This window comes from Homo sapiens, chromosome 1, assembly GCF_000001405.40.
Source record: "Homo sapiens chromosome 1, GRCh38.p14 Primary Assembly".
Taxonomy (NCBI): Eukaryota; Metazoa; Chordata; class Mammalia; order Primates; family Hominidae; genus Homo; species Homo sapiens.
Genome location: NC_000001.11, coordinates 44,010,609 through 44,023,784, shown reverse-complemented (window position 1 = coordinate 44,023,784; position 13,176 = coordinate 44,010,609). Strand labels below are relative to the sequence as shown.

Sequence of the window (13,176 nt, the reverse complement as noted above, 5' to 3'; positions counted from 1 at the left end):
CCAAGTCCTGGCTCTTCTTTGCCCTCAGCCTTAGAGCACAGGAGAGGTAGTGGTGAGGCCACGAGACACGGGAGAGGTAGTGGTGAGGCCACGAGACACAGAGGGGTGGATGAGATTCTTTTTATTTTTTTTAATTTTTTTGAGACTAAGTCTCACTCTGTTGCCCAGGCTAGAGTGCAGTGGCGTGATCTCAGCTCACTGCAACCTCTGCCCCTGCCGGGTTCAAGCGATTCTCATGCCTCAGCCTCCCAAATAGCTGGGGTTACAGGCATGAGCCACCATGCCTAGCTAATTTTGTATTTTTAGTAGAGACGGGGTTTCACCATGTTGGCCAGGCTGGTCTCAAACTCCTGACCTTAGGTGATCCACACGCCTCGGCCTTCCAAAGTGCTGAGATTACAGGTGTGAGCCACCGCACCCGGCCTGGGTGAGGTTCTTGAAGGAGCAAGACTCGCTGATGGATGGACCAGGTCAGCACCAGAAGCAAGAACCAAGAAAATGATGCCAAATCCTGTCCCAGAGGCAATGGTTGTCTTCCTTCTCTTGAGATCTTCCCTGGGGACAGGCTAGACTGGACGGCTGCCGGGGGTGGGGACCTGGGACTGAGCATGGACAGTCCCTCCCTCAGCAGCTCCCATCCTTTCAATCCCCTGTGTTGCTTTTCTCATTTAGTGAAAGAGTCATTGGCCTGGTGTCTCTACTGAGCCCTCCCCAAACGAGCCCTGTCTCTCACCAAAGATTTCTGGGACTCAAAGTACCTGGTTTAAAAGAACAACTTGGGCTGGGCAGGGTGGCTCACGCCTGTAATCCCAGCACTTTGGGAGGCTGAGGAGGGCAGATCACTTGAGATCAGGAGTTTGAGACCAGCCTGACCAACATGGTGAAACCTTGTCTCTACTAAAAATACAAAAATTAGCCAGATGTGGTGGTGCGCACCTGTAATCCCAGCTACTTGGGAGGCTGTGGCACGAAAATCACTTGAACCCGGGTTGCAGTGAGGCAAGCGCCACTGCACTCCAGCCTGGGCAATAGAGCAGGGCTCTGTCTCAAAAAAAAAAAAAAGAAAGAAAGAAAGAAAGAAAGAAAAATTAAAAAACAGCAGTTTGTGGGAGAGAACCGGTGGTTCTGCTCCAAGCTCAGGATCTTCTATCTGGCCCTGTTCTGAACCTCCAGCATCCAACCCCTGGCCCCAACCCTCAGGCCAGCTCTGGTCTAGCCCCCTACTGATTGACTGATTGGAGCAAGTCTGATTGAACCAAGCTCCTGAAAGTATTCCTGAGATTCCTGAAATCTGGGTGCTCAGAAATGGGCCCAGATGGAGATCTTATGACCTGAACACTTGCTAGGGGTGAATCCCATCTGAGAACCCAAACATGGCCCCACCTTTCCTGGAGAAGTCTTGGAATTGCCATGGGCTTGTGATAAGAAGCGGGGTGTGGCCCTGCCCCTTCCTACCATGGAGATTCTGAGCCCCATGAAACCTCTGAGTCCTCCCTGGTTGCTCTTTCTTCTCTGGAGTGACCTGGAAGGACTGGGAGGAGGGCAGGCAGGAGAGATGTGAGCAGCACAGAGGGCATGGCTCCCAGTGTCCCAGAGTCCCTGCCTGAGCTGAGCTTCCCGGACTGTGCTCTGCCGGTCGGCCCGGCCAGCCTGTCTATGGATGGGAATGCTGCCTTGGGACTCCTGTTCCCAGCACCAGGATGTGCCTAAAGATAGCTGGGGCTCGCTCTCCTCCCCGCTCTCTGCCCTTTGGCTTTTGCCCACTGTTGCTGCGTTTGAGGCCCATAGCATCTGTCCCATGGGCACCCCCAGTGGTTGCTTGGAGATTCTATTCCTGCTTCCTTTTCAGTTCTGCTGATGACCTTGGAGTACTCCACTCTATTCTTGGGTTCCAGTTTGGGACTGAAGCCACCTCCATTCAGTGCTTGTCTCTAGACACAGCCTCTGAGGTGCATAGGGCAGCTGGTCCCTGCTGAGCCCCGTCTCTTCTAACACAGGCAGCCCAGTCAGCACATTTGTGTCTTCTGTGTCTTCCTATGGCTAGTAACTAAGGAAGCTTCATTCTGACAGGGTTCTTCTTTGGATACCCTGGTAGATCAGAAGAGAGGATGTTAAGGGGCGTGTGTGTGAGCCATGCACTTGGACCATCCCAGTTCTCCGTGGCTTCTGCTGCTCTATTTGTGCCCTGGCATGCATGGAGCAGGCACTGGCCCCTACCATGGGATCCTCACTTCTATCCCCCTTTACCCAGGTTTGGGTGTGAGGACACTGGCCCTCCAAGTCTCTTCAGTGTCGGCAGACACCCTGTGTTATCCTTGGAGCTTCTGCTGGATGCTACAGCCAGTGCCCCATGGGTAACAAGCAGCTTACCAGCACGTGCCCAGGCCCACATGCCTGCTGCACGTGTCCCTCCCTCACTCCAGCCCAGATGGTCTCTGCCAGGCCAGCTCAGCTGCCTCCCTCACGCCTCAGCAGCTCCTAGGACAGGGCTGTGCGAGAACCCAGCTGGCCAGGGTGCCTCCAAGCCTGGGAGCAGCTGGGATGCTTGGGGGCACTAGGGGGTGGGTGGGGTGGTCCTCCCGTGGAGACCTAGGGCCTCATACACGTGCGGAGCAGGGCCACCTAGGTCTCAAAGGACAAGGGGCTGGAGGAGAGGGACCCAGGACAGGAGGCAAGAGAGCCCCCACTAGCTCAGTTTTAATCCTCCACCCACCAATGTCACACCATTTCCCAGGCTGGCCACCTCAGTCCCCTCCCTAGTGCCACTGCCCACTCATGCAGAGTCTTGGGCAGTTCAGGCCTTGGTGAGCTTTGTTGACCTCTTCCCATGTCTGAGCACACTGATTGTTTCTGCCACTGGGAAGCCTTACAATGAACAGGAACAGACTCATTTGGATTAGGGTTCTGGGTGCCAGAGTGTCCAAATCCAAGGAGGCCTTGCAAGCACCACAGGCCGCCAGGGGCTGCCCCACCCTGACGCGTTCTCATATGTTTTTCCCTGAGGGTTTGGGCACCTCCTGTCTGTAGCATCCGTCATAGGACCTGGCACATAGTGGGGACTCACCCAGCCCAAGTGTTGGCATGTAGCAAGAGCTCAACTAGTGCAGGCTTGGTGCATTATTGGGAGGTCACCAAGCACAGGGTTTGGCACACCTTGGACACTCCCTTGGTAGAGGGCCTGTCCCTGCCTGGGCACTCACCTAACCGAAGTCTTAGCGTGTGGCAAATGCTCAACTAGTGCAGACTTGGCACACATTAAACACTCCCTTAGAAGACAGCCTGTCACCCTGTAGGCATTCATCTAGCACACTGCCAGGTACACAGTGGGTGCTCACCCAGCTCAGAGCTGGGCGCACATTGGGTCCTTACCTGGCACAGAATTCGACATACCCGGGGTACTCCCCTAGTACAGGACCTAGCACACCACAGGGGCTCCCCACCTGGGGCTGACACACAATGAGTGCTGTCTCAGCATCGGACTTGGCACACAAGAGGCACTCTGCTGATCAGCATCGGATTTGGCACACGGTGGGCACTCTGCTGATGCAGGTTCTCACACACAGCAGGTGCTTCCAGCACAAGATTTGACATCCAGTAAGTGCTATCCCGGCTCAGGGCCTGGCACACAGTGGGCATTCTCCTTAGATAAGGCCTAGTACAGTGGAGGTGCTCTTCTAGCCAGGACAGCCTAAGCAATGACCTTCCGCTGATCCTAGATTAGCAGCTACCCCATCCTCCGTGAAATGGGCAATATCTAGATCCAGAGGAAAAGTTCCAGCCTTCCTCAGCTTCCTCTCTGGTCGGGGGCCCTGCCCTCCCTCCCCCTCCCCACTTCCTGTCTAGCCCACCTACTCAACCCTGTAGCCCGGCCTCCCACACAGCCTCCCTGCAGCCCTCCCCCATCCCCGGCACTTCTCAGTCCCAGCTCAGCGGGACCTTCCCTCCAGAGTCACAGGGGACAACAAAGACCCTAGCCTCCTTGCCCCTCTGGAAGCATGCCCACTCTTATTAGGCAAAGTCAGAGGCGGGAGCTGGGGGAGTCAGCATCCCTAAGTGGGGCTAGAGCAGCTGGATCTCGCTAATGAGGCCTCATTACGGCCAGGGCCCAGCTGGGCTGCTGCCGCCTCCTGTCCCCATGGCCAGAGCCAGGGAAAGCCGTCCAGCCATGGCTGCCTGTTCTGGGCACCCGGCCCAGGCCAGGGCAGCCAGAGCCCAGAGCCCACCCTCGGTGCAAGTGAGCATTTGGGCATCATGGGTGACGGGACCTTCCTGGAGCCAGTGGCCCAGCCAGCGCCTTGGCCCTCAGTCTGCGCCCATGGGAAGTCAGGGGAGTGTGTCTGGGGACCAGGCGCATGAGGCTGGCTCAGTGAGCAGCTGAGTCGGTAGGATCTGAGGCCATCCTTAGGACACTTGCTTGAGCCAAGGCCTGTCCCCATCTTCCCCAAACCAACATGGAGATAATAATGGACCTACCTCATGGGACAGCTGGGAGGACCCAATGAGTTAAGATATGGGAAGTTAACTTGTACCATACTAGGTGAGTGCCCACAGGGTGATGGGCTGTCTGTGAAGCAAGCGTCCCATGTATGCTGAGCCAGGACAGTGCCTGGCCCACAGCAAGCACTTACTATGTATTTTCTATTACCATTATTACTAATGCTCACTAGATTCAATGATTGGTGGGTGGTTTCCCCGTTTTAGAGATGGAGAAACTGAGATCCGACATGTTAATGGACTTGCCTAAGGTTATATATGGTGAGAAACTGACAAAGCTAGGGTTTGAACCCAGGACTGTCAAACTCTAAAGGCTGTGACTTTTTATCTTATTTTAAAATTTATTTTTTATTAATTTTTTGAAACAAGGTCTCACTTTGTCACCCAGTTTGGAGTGCAGTGGTGTGATCATAGCTCACTACAACTTCCAACGTCTGGGCTCAAGCAAAACTCCCTCCTCAGTCTCCTGAGTAGCTGGGACTATAGGTACACACCACCACACCTTGCCAGTTTTTTGTAGAGACACGGTCTCACTATGTTGCCCAGGCTGGTCATGAACTCCTGACCTCAAGCGACCCTCCTGCCTTGGCTTCCCAAAGCACTGGCATTACAGGCCTAAGCCACTGTGCCCCACCTGTCTTTTTATTTTTATTTATTATTATTATTATTATTATTATTATTATTATTATTATTTTAGAGAGAGAGTTTTGCTCTTGCTGCCCAGGCTGGAATGCAATGGCGCGATCTCGGCTCACTGCAACCTCCACCTCCCGGGTTCAAGCGATTCTCCCGCCTCAGCCTCCCGAGTAGCTGGGATTACAGGCATGTGCCACCACGCCCAGCTAATTTTGTATTTTTAGTAGAGATGGGGTTGGTCTCACCATGTTGGTCAGGTTGGTCTCAAACTCCTGACCTTGTGATCTGCCCTCCTCAGCCTCCCAAAGTGCTGGGATTACAGGCGTGAGCCACCGTACCTGGCCCTGTTTTTAAATTTTTAATGTCATCCTGTGCTTGACAAAACTCCTTATGTTCCCTACGGGGTTGCCACACTCACCAAACTCACAGGAAAGCTGTTCTTACACCAGAATTCATGCACGTGTCCATCTGACTGATATTTCCTGAGGTCCTGTGGTAAGCCAGGCCTTCTGCTGACTGACCAGTTTCCAAAGGGCCTGACACATTCCTGGCACCGGAATGCATATGCCCACCTTCCGAGCCACTGGTCTGAGGTATCTTGGGGTCAGCAGGAGACTGGCCAGTGTGTGTGGCCTCAGAGAAAGGGACTGGATGGGTCTGAGTGGCATCCCACTACAGTAGTGGTGACTATAGTCATGGTGACGACACCACTGGACCTACCAGCCCACGCCACGCACACTCCCAGACTAGCACCTCAGCTTCTGGGCATCACGGTGCAAATCCTCACGGGTTCTTATTCCACAGTCCCCCTTTGTCTGGACTCTGGGATGACTTGCCCCCTTGGCTAATGCCATCTTTGTCCAGACAGCTGACAGCGTGGTTCACTAGGCCAGGGCTTTCTTGCATGGTCAGTTGCATTCTCCTAGGAAGACGCCCCATCACCCTGGCAGTTTGGGAGTCCCCATCTCTGGTTGGTGGGGGGTGTCAGGTACAGCCCTAGGGCTTGGTTTCTCCCAGCCCGCACCCCTCCGTGGAGCCTGAGCTGCTCTGGTGGTGCCCTGTGGACTGTGCCTTCCATCCTCCTGCCGGTCACCATCCAGGGCCCAATGGGGCAGACCCCGTCACTCATCAGACACCCAACTACCCTAGCAGGAGCCCACCCAGTGCTAGGCCTGTGGGCTCAGACAGCGTCTGGTCAGCTCCGTGGGGGGAGTGAGCCACCCTCTCGCCTGCTCTGCCCCAGTCTGTGTGTGTGTGTGTGTGTGTGTGTGTGTGTGTGTGTGTGTTGTTCCAGTTACTTGCTGGGAACAAGGGAAAAACACAACAAACCCCACACACCCCACTCCAGCTCCGGAGCACCCGTGCTGGGCTGCATGGGGACTGGCCGGAGGGGCAGGGCCAGGGGAGCGGGTAGGCAGAGCTTCGGGAGGAGATGAGGTGAAAGTAATTGACGCTGCCCAGCCCGGCAGTGGGAGAGGCAGGGGATGCGTCAGTGTCGCGCTGGAGCTGGCAGAGGTGTGAATGAGCGGCGGAGACACGCGGGCTGCGATCGCTCGCCCCAGGATGGCCGCGGCTCATGGACCTGTGGCCCCCTCTTCCCCAGAACAGGTCAGTCACCTTCCAGGAAGTTGAGCCCCCTCCTTGGTGCCAGGCAGGCTGAGAGGCTGGGCTGCGGATGGGGAGAGGGGCTGAGTGGTCTGTGCCAGGGAGGGGCAGGCACAGCCAGCAAGCAAGACAGACACCAGCCAAAGTGACCCAGAAAGTTGCAACTGTGCAAAGGAGTGTAGGAAGAGTTAGCTGTGTGGTGGGGGTGAGGGGGAGGAGAGTGGGGGTGTGAGGGCTCCCCCAGCCCAAGGACCTGCTGAGAATCTGCTCTGTGTATCAAAGCTGCATTGTCCTAGCTCCCGGGGAGACGGGCCGGAGGTGCCCAGGAATTGTACTAATCAATACAGCCTCATTGTCTGTGCCACGGCAGTTACTCCTATGGGAAGAGTGGGTGAGGGGGCAGGGGAACGTGGTACATGGTTTCAGTGGCAAGGGGTGGGGGAAGGGGATGGGGCAAGAGTCTCAGCTGGGAAGAGAGAGACCCCACAGAACATTTTCCAGGGTCCAGGGCAAGTGCCCGCATGGGCTGGGAGCCGGTGTGTCCTCATCCCTGGACGCCGGGGACGGGTGGAGATGTCAGCGGATGGCAGCGAGGGTGAGGAGACTCGAAAGCTACACTTCTCCCCTGTAGGACATCCTGACTTGACCTTCAAAAGGCAAGAGAGGGAATGTCCTCTGAGGCGATGTGGGATGGGTCTGGGAGGAACAGTACGCAGGGCTGCCCTCAAGCCTCAGTACTGCTAGGGTCAAGAACCAAAGCCACTTTCCAGAGTGCCTGCCTGCTGCTAGCCAGTGAGGGTAGACGCCGCCCCCAGCCGCTGCAGCACAGGACATGACCATTGCCTCCAGTCTTCCCTCCTGGGCTTGTCTGGGGTGGGAAGCGAGGAGCTGGCCAGGGTCCACCCAGGGTCCTCCATCACTCACCCCAGGGCCTGGAGTGGAGCCCGGCATGCCTGGGGGTGCCAGTCATCTGTCTGCAGCCCACAATATTGGCAGGTCCCTTGCTGCCAGTCAGGGCTCTGCAATGGATAAGCACAAGGCGTATTCTTGCCTCTCTCATCTGCTATATGAAGGCCTGGACTCTGAAGGCACCTGGAGTCCTGAGAGGTGCCCAGAGATGGCTCTGAGGTTTGCCTTGAGGCAGGAGGCATGAATGGCCACTGGGGGCTGCTCGGCCCGGGGGAGATTTTCCCATGTTCTGCCCCTCCACCCCGGCCCCAGACTCTCCCATATCCAGGTAACTGAGGCCAGAGATCAGAGCTGCAGCTGGGTCTCTCTGCCCCTACTCAGTGCCATGTAGGTGAAGGACAGAAGATTCTGTCATTGCAGGGTAGGTGCTGCCTGTGGGCCAGGCTGGGCCCTGCACTGATAGGAGAGAACAAAAACTGAGGGGTGCCTGGCCGGAAGGAGGTCGTGGGGTCTTCTGAGGCAGCCACAATTTACTGTAATGGCTGTTCTGTCTAGATTCCCCATTGGGGCTTAGAGAAAGTTGCCAGTGATCTGATTTGGCTCAAAGTCAGTCTGGGATGTGAGGTCTTGCCCATTCTCCTCCATAAAGTTTGTCTTGGATGGGACTTCATCCCATGAGCAAACCCTGGGGCTGGAGAGTCCTAAACACAAAGCCTGCTGGGTCCCAGAGGGGCCCGCCCATCCAGGGCAGCTCCAGGATTCCTCAGTGTCCACCCAGAGCAGGAGGGGGAAGCTCACAATTCACAAAAATATCCACTGGCCACTGATCTAGGAGGCGGGAGTGTCACACCAGAGCACAGTCACCGTCCAGGGTGGAGAGCTGGGCTCCCTGAGTCTGTGCAACAGCAAAAGGCAGGAGTGCATCCTGGGGCTGGCCCGGTTCGCTCTGGGAGTAGGCTTTGTTGCTGCATTTCCTCTTTACCTTTTTCTGTATTTTCTAATTTTTTTGTGTGTGATAGCTTATTATGCTTTTATAATCAGGAAAAAAAAGGGCAAAATTGTTTTTAGTAATCTAGAAAGCTAGTGGGAACTAATGGAATGTACAGGGGAAAGTCAGAAATAGCAAAATTCCAGGTGAGGGAGAGCTATGGAATATGAGTAGCTACAGAGGCTATCTAGCCTGGGAATCTGGCAGATCGATTGAAAGTGAGGTTATCTAGTCTATGGCCATACCATCCTGAACGCACCCGATCTTGTCTGATAGTGAGGTTATCTAGTCTGTCCCCTGCTTTTGTAGACAGCAGTGCTGAGATACCAAGAGTGGAAGTGGCTTGCCCAGGGCTCTACTGGAGGAGCGGGCCCTAGAGCACCAGGGCTCTCACCTGCACCGGTGTCCCGCCTCTGCCAAGCCCAGGGCTGAGTGGGAGATCTGGATTCTGCCCTCGGAGCTGAGCAGCCTTAATTCCAGGGGCTCAGCCAGAGCAGTAAATAAGCCAAGCAGAGGGCTGTGTAAAGGACTTATGTAAGTGACTTTGCTCAGTGTGGCTCTCCCAGCTAGGCAGGGAAGGGGTGGGAGGCTGTTAAACCAGGAAAGATCATAAGTCCTTGTGCCAGGGTGGACACTCCTGTCTCAATGACTGGTTCTAAGGGTAAGGGAACATCTGAGGGGTGTGTGTGTGTGTGTATGGGTGTATATGTGTCAGCCAGCTCACCCCACCCCGCCATGGAAGGAAAGCCTCCATTCCTTCCATGGCTGGGAGAGCTTGGGGACAGGGCAGGGTAGTCCTGTCCTGGAGACCACCTGCTGAGCCCATGGCAGTGGCAAGTGGAGGCTGCTTTGTCCTGGCAGTGGCCTCTCAGAGCTGCCAGGAAGGGTGACAGGGCACATAGGGGCTGCCTAGGGAGCCTGCAGAAGAGGGGGCCAAGCCAGAGGGAACCATGCCGCTATGGTTTAATTCCCCACTGAGATGTCAGCAAGTGAGTGAGGGTGAGCAGAGGGGGGCAGATGGTGGTGATGGTGGTGGGGGTTAGGAGAAGCCTGGAGCAGAGCCCATCCATGGGGCTGAGCTGGCTCAGGCAGACGGGCAGCCAGTCTGAGTCAAATCGTGAGCACAAAGGGATTTTTCCGTGGGTACCTCAGCTGATGACCACTGCAGGGACAGTTCATATCAGTGACACAGCCGTCCACCCAGCAGATCAAGAAAAACTAGAGGCTTAGAATAGGAAAGATTATGCAAGGAGGGAGAAAAAAAGCCATACAGTATTGAAAAAGATTTAGCTGCTCAGGAGGGAAGTCAGAGGGTGGTCCCCAGAGGAGATCTGGACAAGGAAGGGAACTAGAACACCCAGAAAGTGCCTGGATTTTTTTTTGGAGAGTCTTTCCTCCAGTTTGCTTGGAGAAAGGTAGGCCTGCTCTGTCGTCCGCTGAGAGCTCAGCCCTCCCCAGCCAAGCCACCTGAGCGTAGACAGCCCTGGAGTTGAAGACAGAGGCCAAGCCTGGGCCAGATTCCCGTGGTCGAGCGCCACAGTGCTGGGACCCAGGCCCAAGCAGAAGTGGGTGCTGCTTCTGCAAGGATCCTCTGCATACAGCAGACCTTTAGTGTTGTCAGAAACTTCCTGCCAGAGCCCCGTCGCCAACCCCGGTTCAGCCCTGTCGCGGGGGCTGTGGCCTCCCTGGGTTACAGCCCGCACGGCTAAGCTGGTTAGCACACGGCTCATTAACGGAGCAGTGGCTGGCTCTTGAGGGCTCAGGCAGGCGGCTGTCTGTGGCACGTGGCTGGAAGCATCACCACCTTCCCCGTACCTCCCCCTGCCAGGGAAGGAGCAGACTTCAGGGATCCAAATGTGGTCCCACTTGGTCAGGGGGTATGGGGCATCTGTCCCTCATCCTGCTGGGAACAGGAGACAGGCCTTGATCTTCAAGCCTTGGGAACCTGGATCTCTGCAAAGGGCCTTGCCCTTACCCTGCCCATGGGTCCATCCTGGACCATCAGTTGTCCCTTTTACAGCTGTAACTGCTGCTCTGTGACCCCATCCGTGTACTGTGCTGCTGGCACAATCAGGCATTGTGCCCCTAAGTAAACAACCCTGGGACAGAATAAAACTGGTATTGTAGGGTCAACATATAGGAGCCCTATTTGGCTGGCATTTGTTTGGGACCAGATAGACCACCCCCAGCAGGCCTCACACCCTCCAAAAAATGGGCCCTTGACTCTGTGATCTTGCCACACCTGCCCCAGTGAAGGCCCCAGGAGGTGGTGACATGCTCAGACAGGATTCTGTAGGGGCATGTCACAGAGGGCACACTCAGGCCGGGGGGCACCCTCTACCAGGGCCAAGCATGTCTTCAAGCCTCTTCATCAGGGAGACCTTCCTTGACCTCAGCCCTGCTTTCCTGCCTTGTCCTCCTTCCATACTCTTGTGATTTTGAGATGATCCCCTCTGTGGTCACCCTGAAGCCACATCTAAAGATGATGGGTGTATACATTTCATTGCACCCCCACTAGATTTCCAGCTCCGAATGGGTAGGAGCTCTCTGCTGAAGTCCCACTTCCTGGCACAGTGCCTGGCACATAGCCAGTGTCAATAAATCTGCCATTGCATGAATGAATCAATGAATGAATGAAAGAAGGCTTGTTCAGCCACTGATTTGCTCTGGGTGCTCCTTGAAGGAAACCCATGGTCCCTGGCACTGCACCCCTGCCCTCTGTGGAGGGTGTGAGGATCACATCTCGGCAGGGTCGATGCTGGATTGAGAGCACAGGGTGGCTGCCCCACAAAGGTGTCTGTGCTGCAGTGCCCACCCATCAGGCCTTGGTGCCTCCTTTGCCCACATTCCCACCTGGCCTATCCAAGGCGCTTGGGGCCCAGGGAGGCCATTCATTCCGTCTGTGTTTGTTCATCAGCATCAGGGTCTGATAGCATTTCACCTGCACCAGGCTGCCTTGCTTATTGACCAGAGTGACTGCTGTCGAATATGTCTCTTTCAAGCGGAGGGTGAATGTCACATCACTGGCATCTCTCTGAGGCTACGGGGCTCCATCTCTGATGCCAGGTCTGTCTGTTTCTCTCAGGGGAATAGCTCACCTCTGGGAGGCTGTCTCTGGCACTAAGGTCTGTCTGTGTTTCTGTTGGTGACACTGAGCCCCTGTCTCCTTAGTGAGACCCCTTGGGGCCCTTGGGCTCTGATTAATTTCCTGCTCACTGTGGGAGGGAGGTGGAAGGAGCATGGCACTTATTAAGGGACTTCTTTAACCAAGGGACTTGCAGAGCCAGTTCCAGCTTTTGGGCCTGGGGTTCCACAAGGGGCTGTCCTCAGTGGGGCCCAGGCCACCAGCTCAGTCCTGCAGGCCCCACATTCTTCCCTGGGGCAAATCCCCGCATCTGCCTCTCCTGACCTTCGGCCCCCTCCCCTGCAGGTGACGCTTCTCCCTGTTCAGAGATCCTTCTTCCTGCCACCCTTTTCTGGAGCCACTCCCTCTACTTCCCTAGCAGAGTCTGTCCTCAAAGTCTGGCATGGGGCCTACAACTCTGGTCTCCTTCCCCAACTCATGGCCCAGCACTCCCTAGCCATGGCCCAGGTCAGCTCCCCAGGGCCCCTCCCCAGCCATGGGCAGTGTAGCTAGCTCCCCGGACCCTCCCACCTAGAGTCCCAGAATGCCCTCCCCATGTCTGTCCCGGCTCAGCTGCTCCCCCATTTCCCCCCAGCCCTGCCCACTCTGTGCCCCCAGGAAGAAGCCTTCAGCTGGGGGAGGGGTCTAACCTCCCCTCCCCCGCAGTCGCCTGCCCAGGGGCAGCGTGCTCAGCCTGGTGATGTGGTAGGCGACGGGTGGGGGGGCTGTCTGGACACAGGCCCCTTTGTGCCCAGCCTGACTTGGCTGCTTGGTATGAGGCTCAGCTGCTCCCAGATCCTTACCCAGAGGGGCAAGGGGAGGTTTTGGAGGGGCTTGGGGGCTCCTGGCCCTAGCTCCCTCTTCAGTGTCCCGCCTCCCGGATGCTGGTAGCAGCTCCTCAGGTGGGCTGTGCACCTGGCACTGGGTGCTGTGGGGCTGGTGAGGGAAGCTCTGCTTGGCGCCCTCTGGCAGCCACTACTCTCTGCTTCCCTCCTTTGCCAGGCCTGCCTGAAGCTCCTGCCAGCAGAGGGGAAGCCCGGGGAGGGGTGTTGGAGGGGCCACGGTTTCCCTGCTGGGGGAGGCCCAGAGGGTCAGGCATGGAGCACAAATGCCTTGCTGATGGTAGCTTCTCTCCTGTCCCCACAGAATGGTGCTGTGCCCAGCGAGGCCACCAAGAGGGACCAGAACCTCAAACGGGGCAACTGGGGCAACCAGATCGAGTTTGTACTGACGAGCGTGGGCTATGCCGTGGGCCTGGGCAATGTCTGGCGCTTCCCATACCTCTGCTATCGCAACGGGGGAGGTACCCAGTGGGCACAGGGCAGGGACCACCCACTTGGGTAGAGCCCACCCACCAGGGCCTGGGCCACCCTCTCCCTGGCACAGACCCACTCCAGATAAAGGCTGGCCTCTGGCCCTG

General features: G+C 56.4%; 1 protein-coding gene across 16 annotated transcripts in view, besides 1 other annotated feature; it reads left to right on the top strand.

The window, feature by feature from the left end:
- Positions 1–13,176, top strand: part of SLC6A9 (solute carrier family 6 member 9) — a 34,980-nt gene that overhangs the window by 7,678 nt on the left and 14,126 nt on the right. For 4 of the 16 annotated variants that reach the window (NM_001024845.3, NM_001328629.1, XM_047428740.1 and 1 more), the window contains exon 3: positions 12,903–13,059. The exons of 2 other annotated variants lie outside the window; for them this stretch is intronic. In NM_001024845.3, coding sequence (NP_001020016.1) covers positions 12,903–13,059 — 157 coding nt within the window. Of the gene's footprint in view, positions 1–6,444; positions 6,739–12,062; positions 12,225–12,902; positions 13,060–13,176 lie in introns of those variants that run through there. 10 more of the 16 variants (NM_201649.4, XM_011542017.3, XM_047428739.1 and 7 more) reach the window with 6 other exon arrangements.
- Positions 12,506–13,171: an enhancer, noted in NCBI's record as "H3K4me1 hESC enhancer chr1:44476286-44476951 (GRCh37/hg19 assembly coordinates)". NCBI's record gives its function as "activates a minimal SCP1, AML or CMV promoter by ChIP-STARR-seq in primed H9 embryonic stem cells {active_cell/tissue: H9 hESC(primed)}" and the evidence as "EXISTENCE:reporter gene assay evidence [ECO:0000049][PMID:30033119]".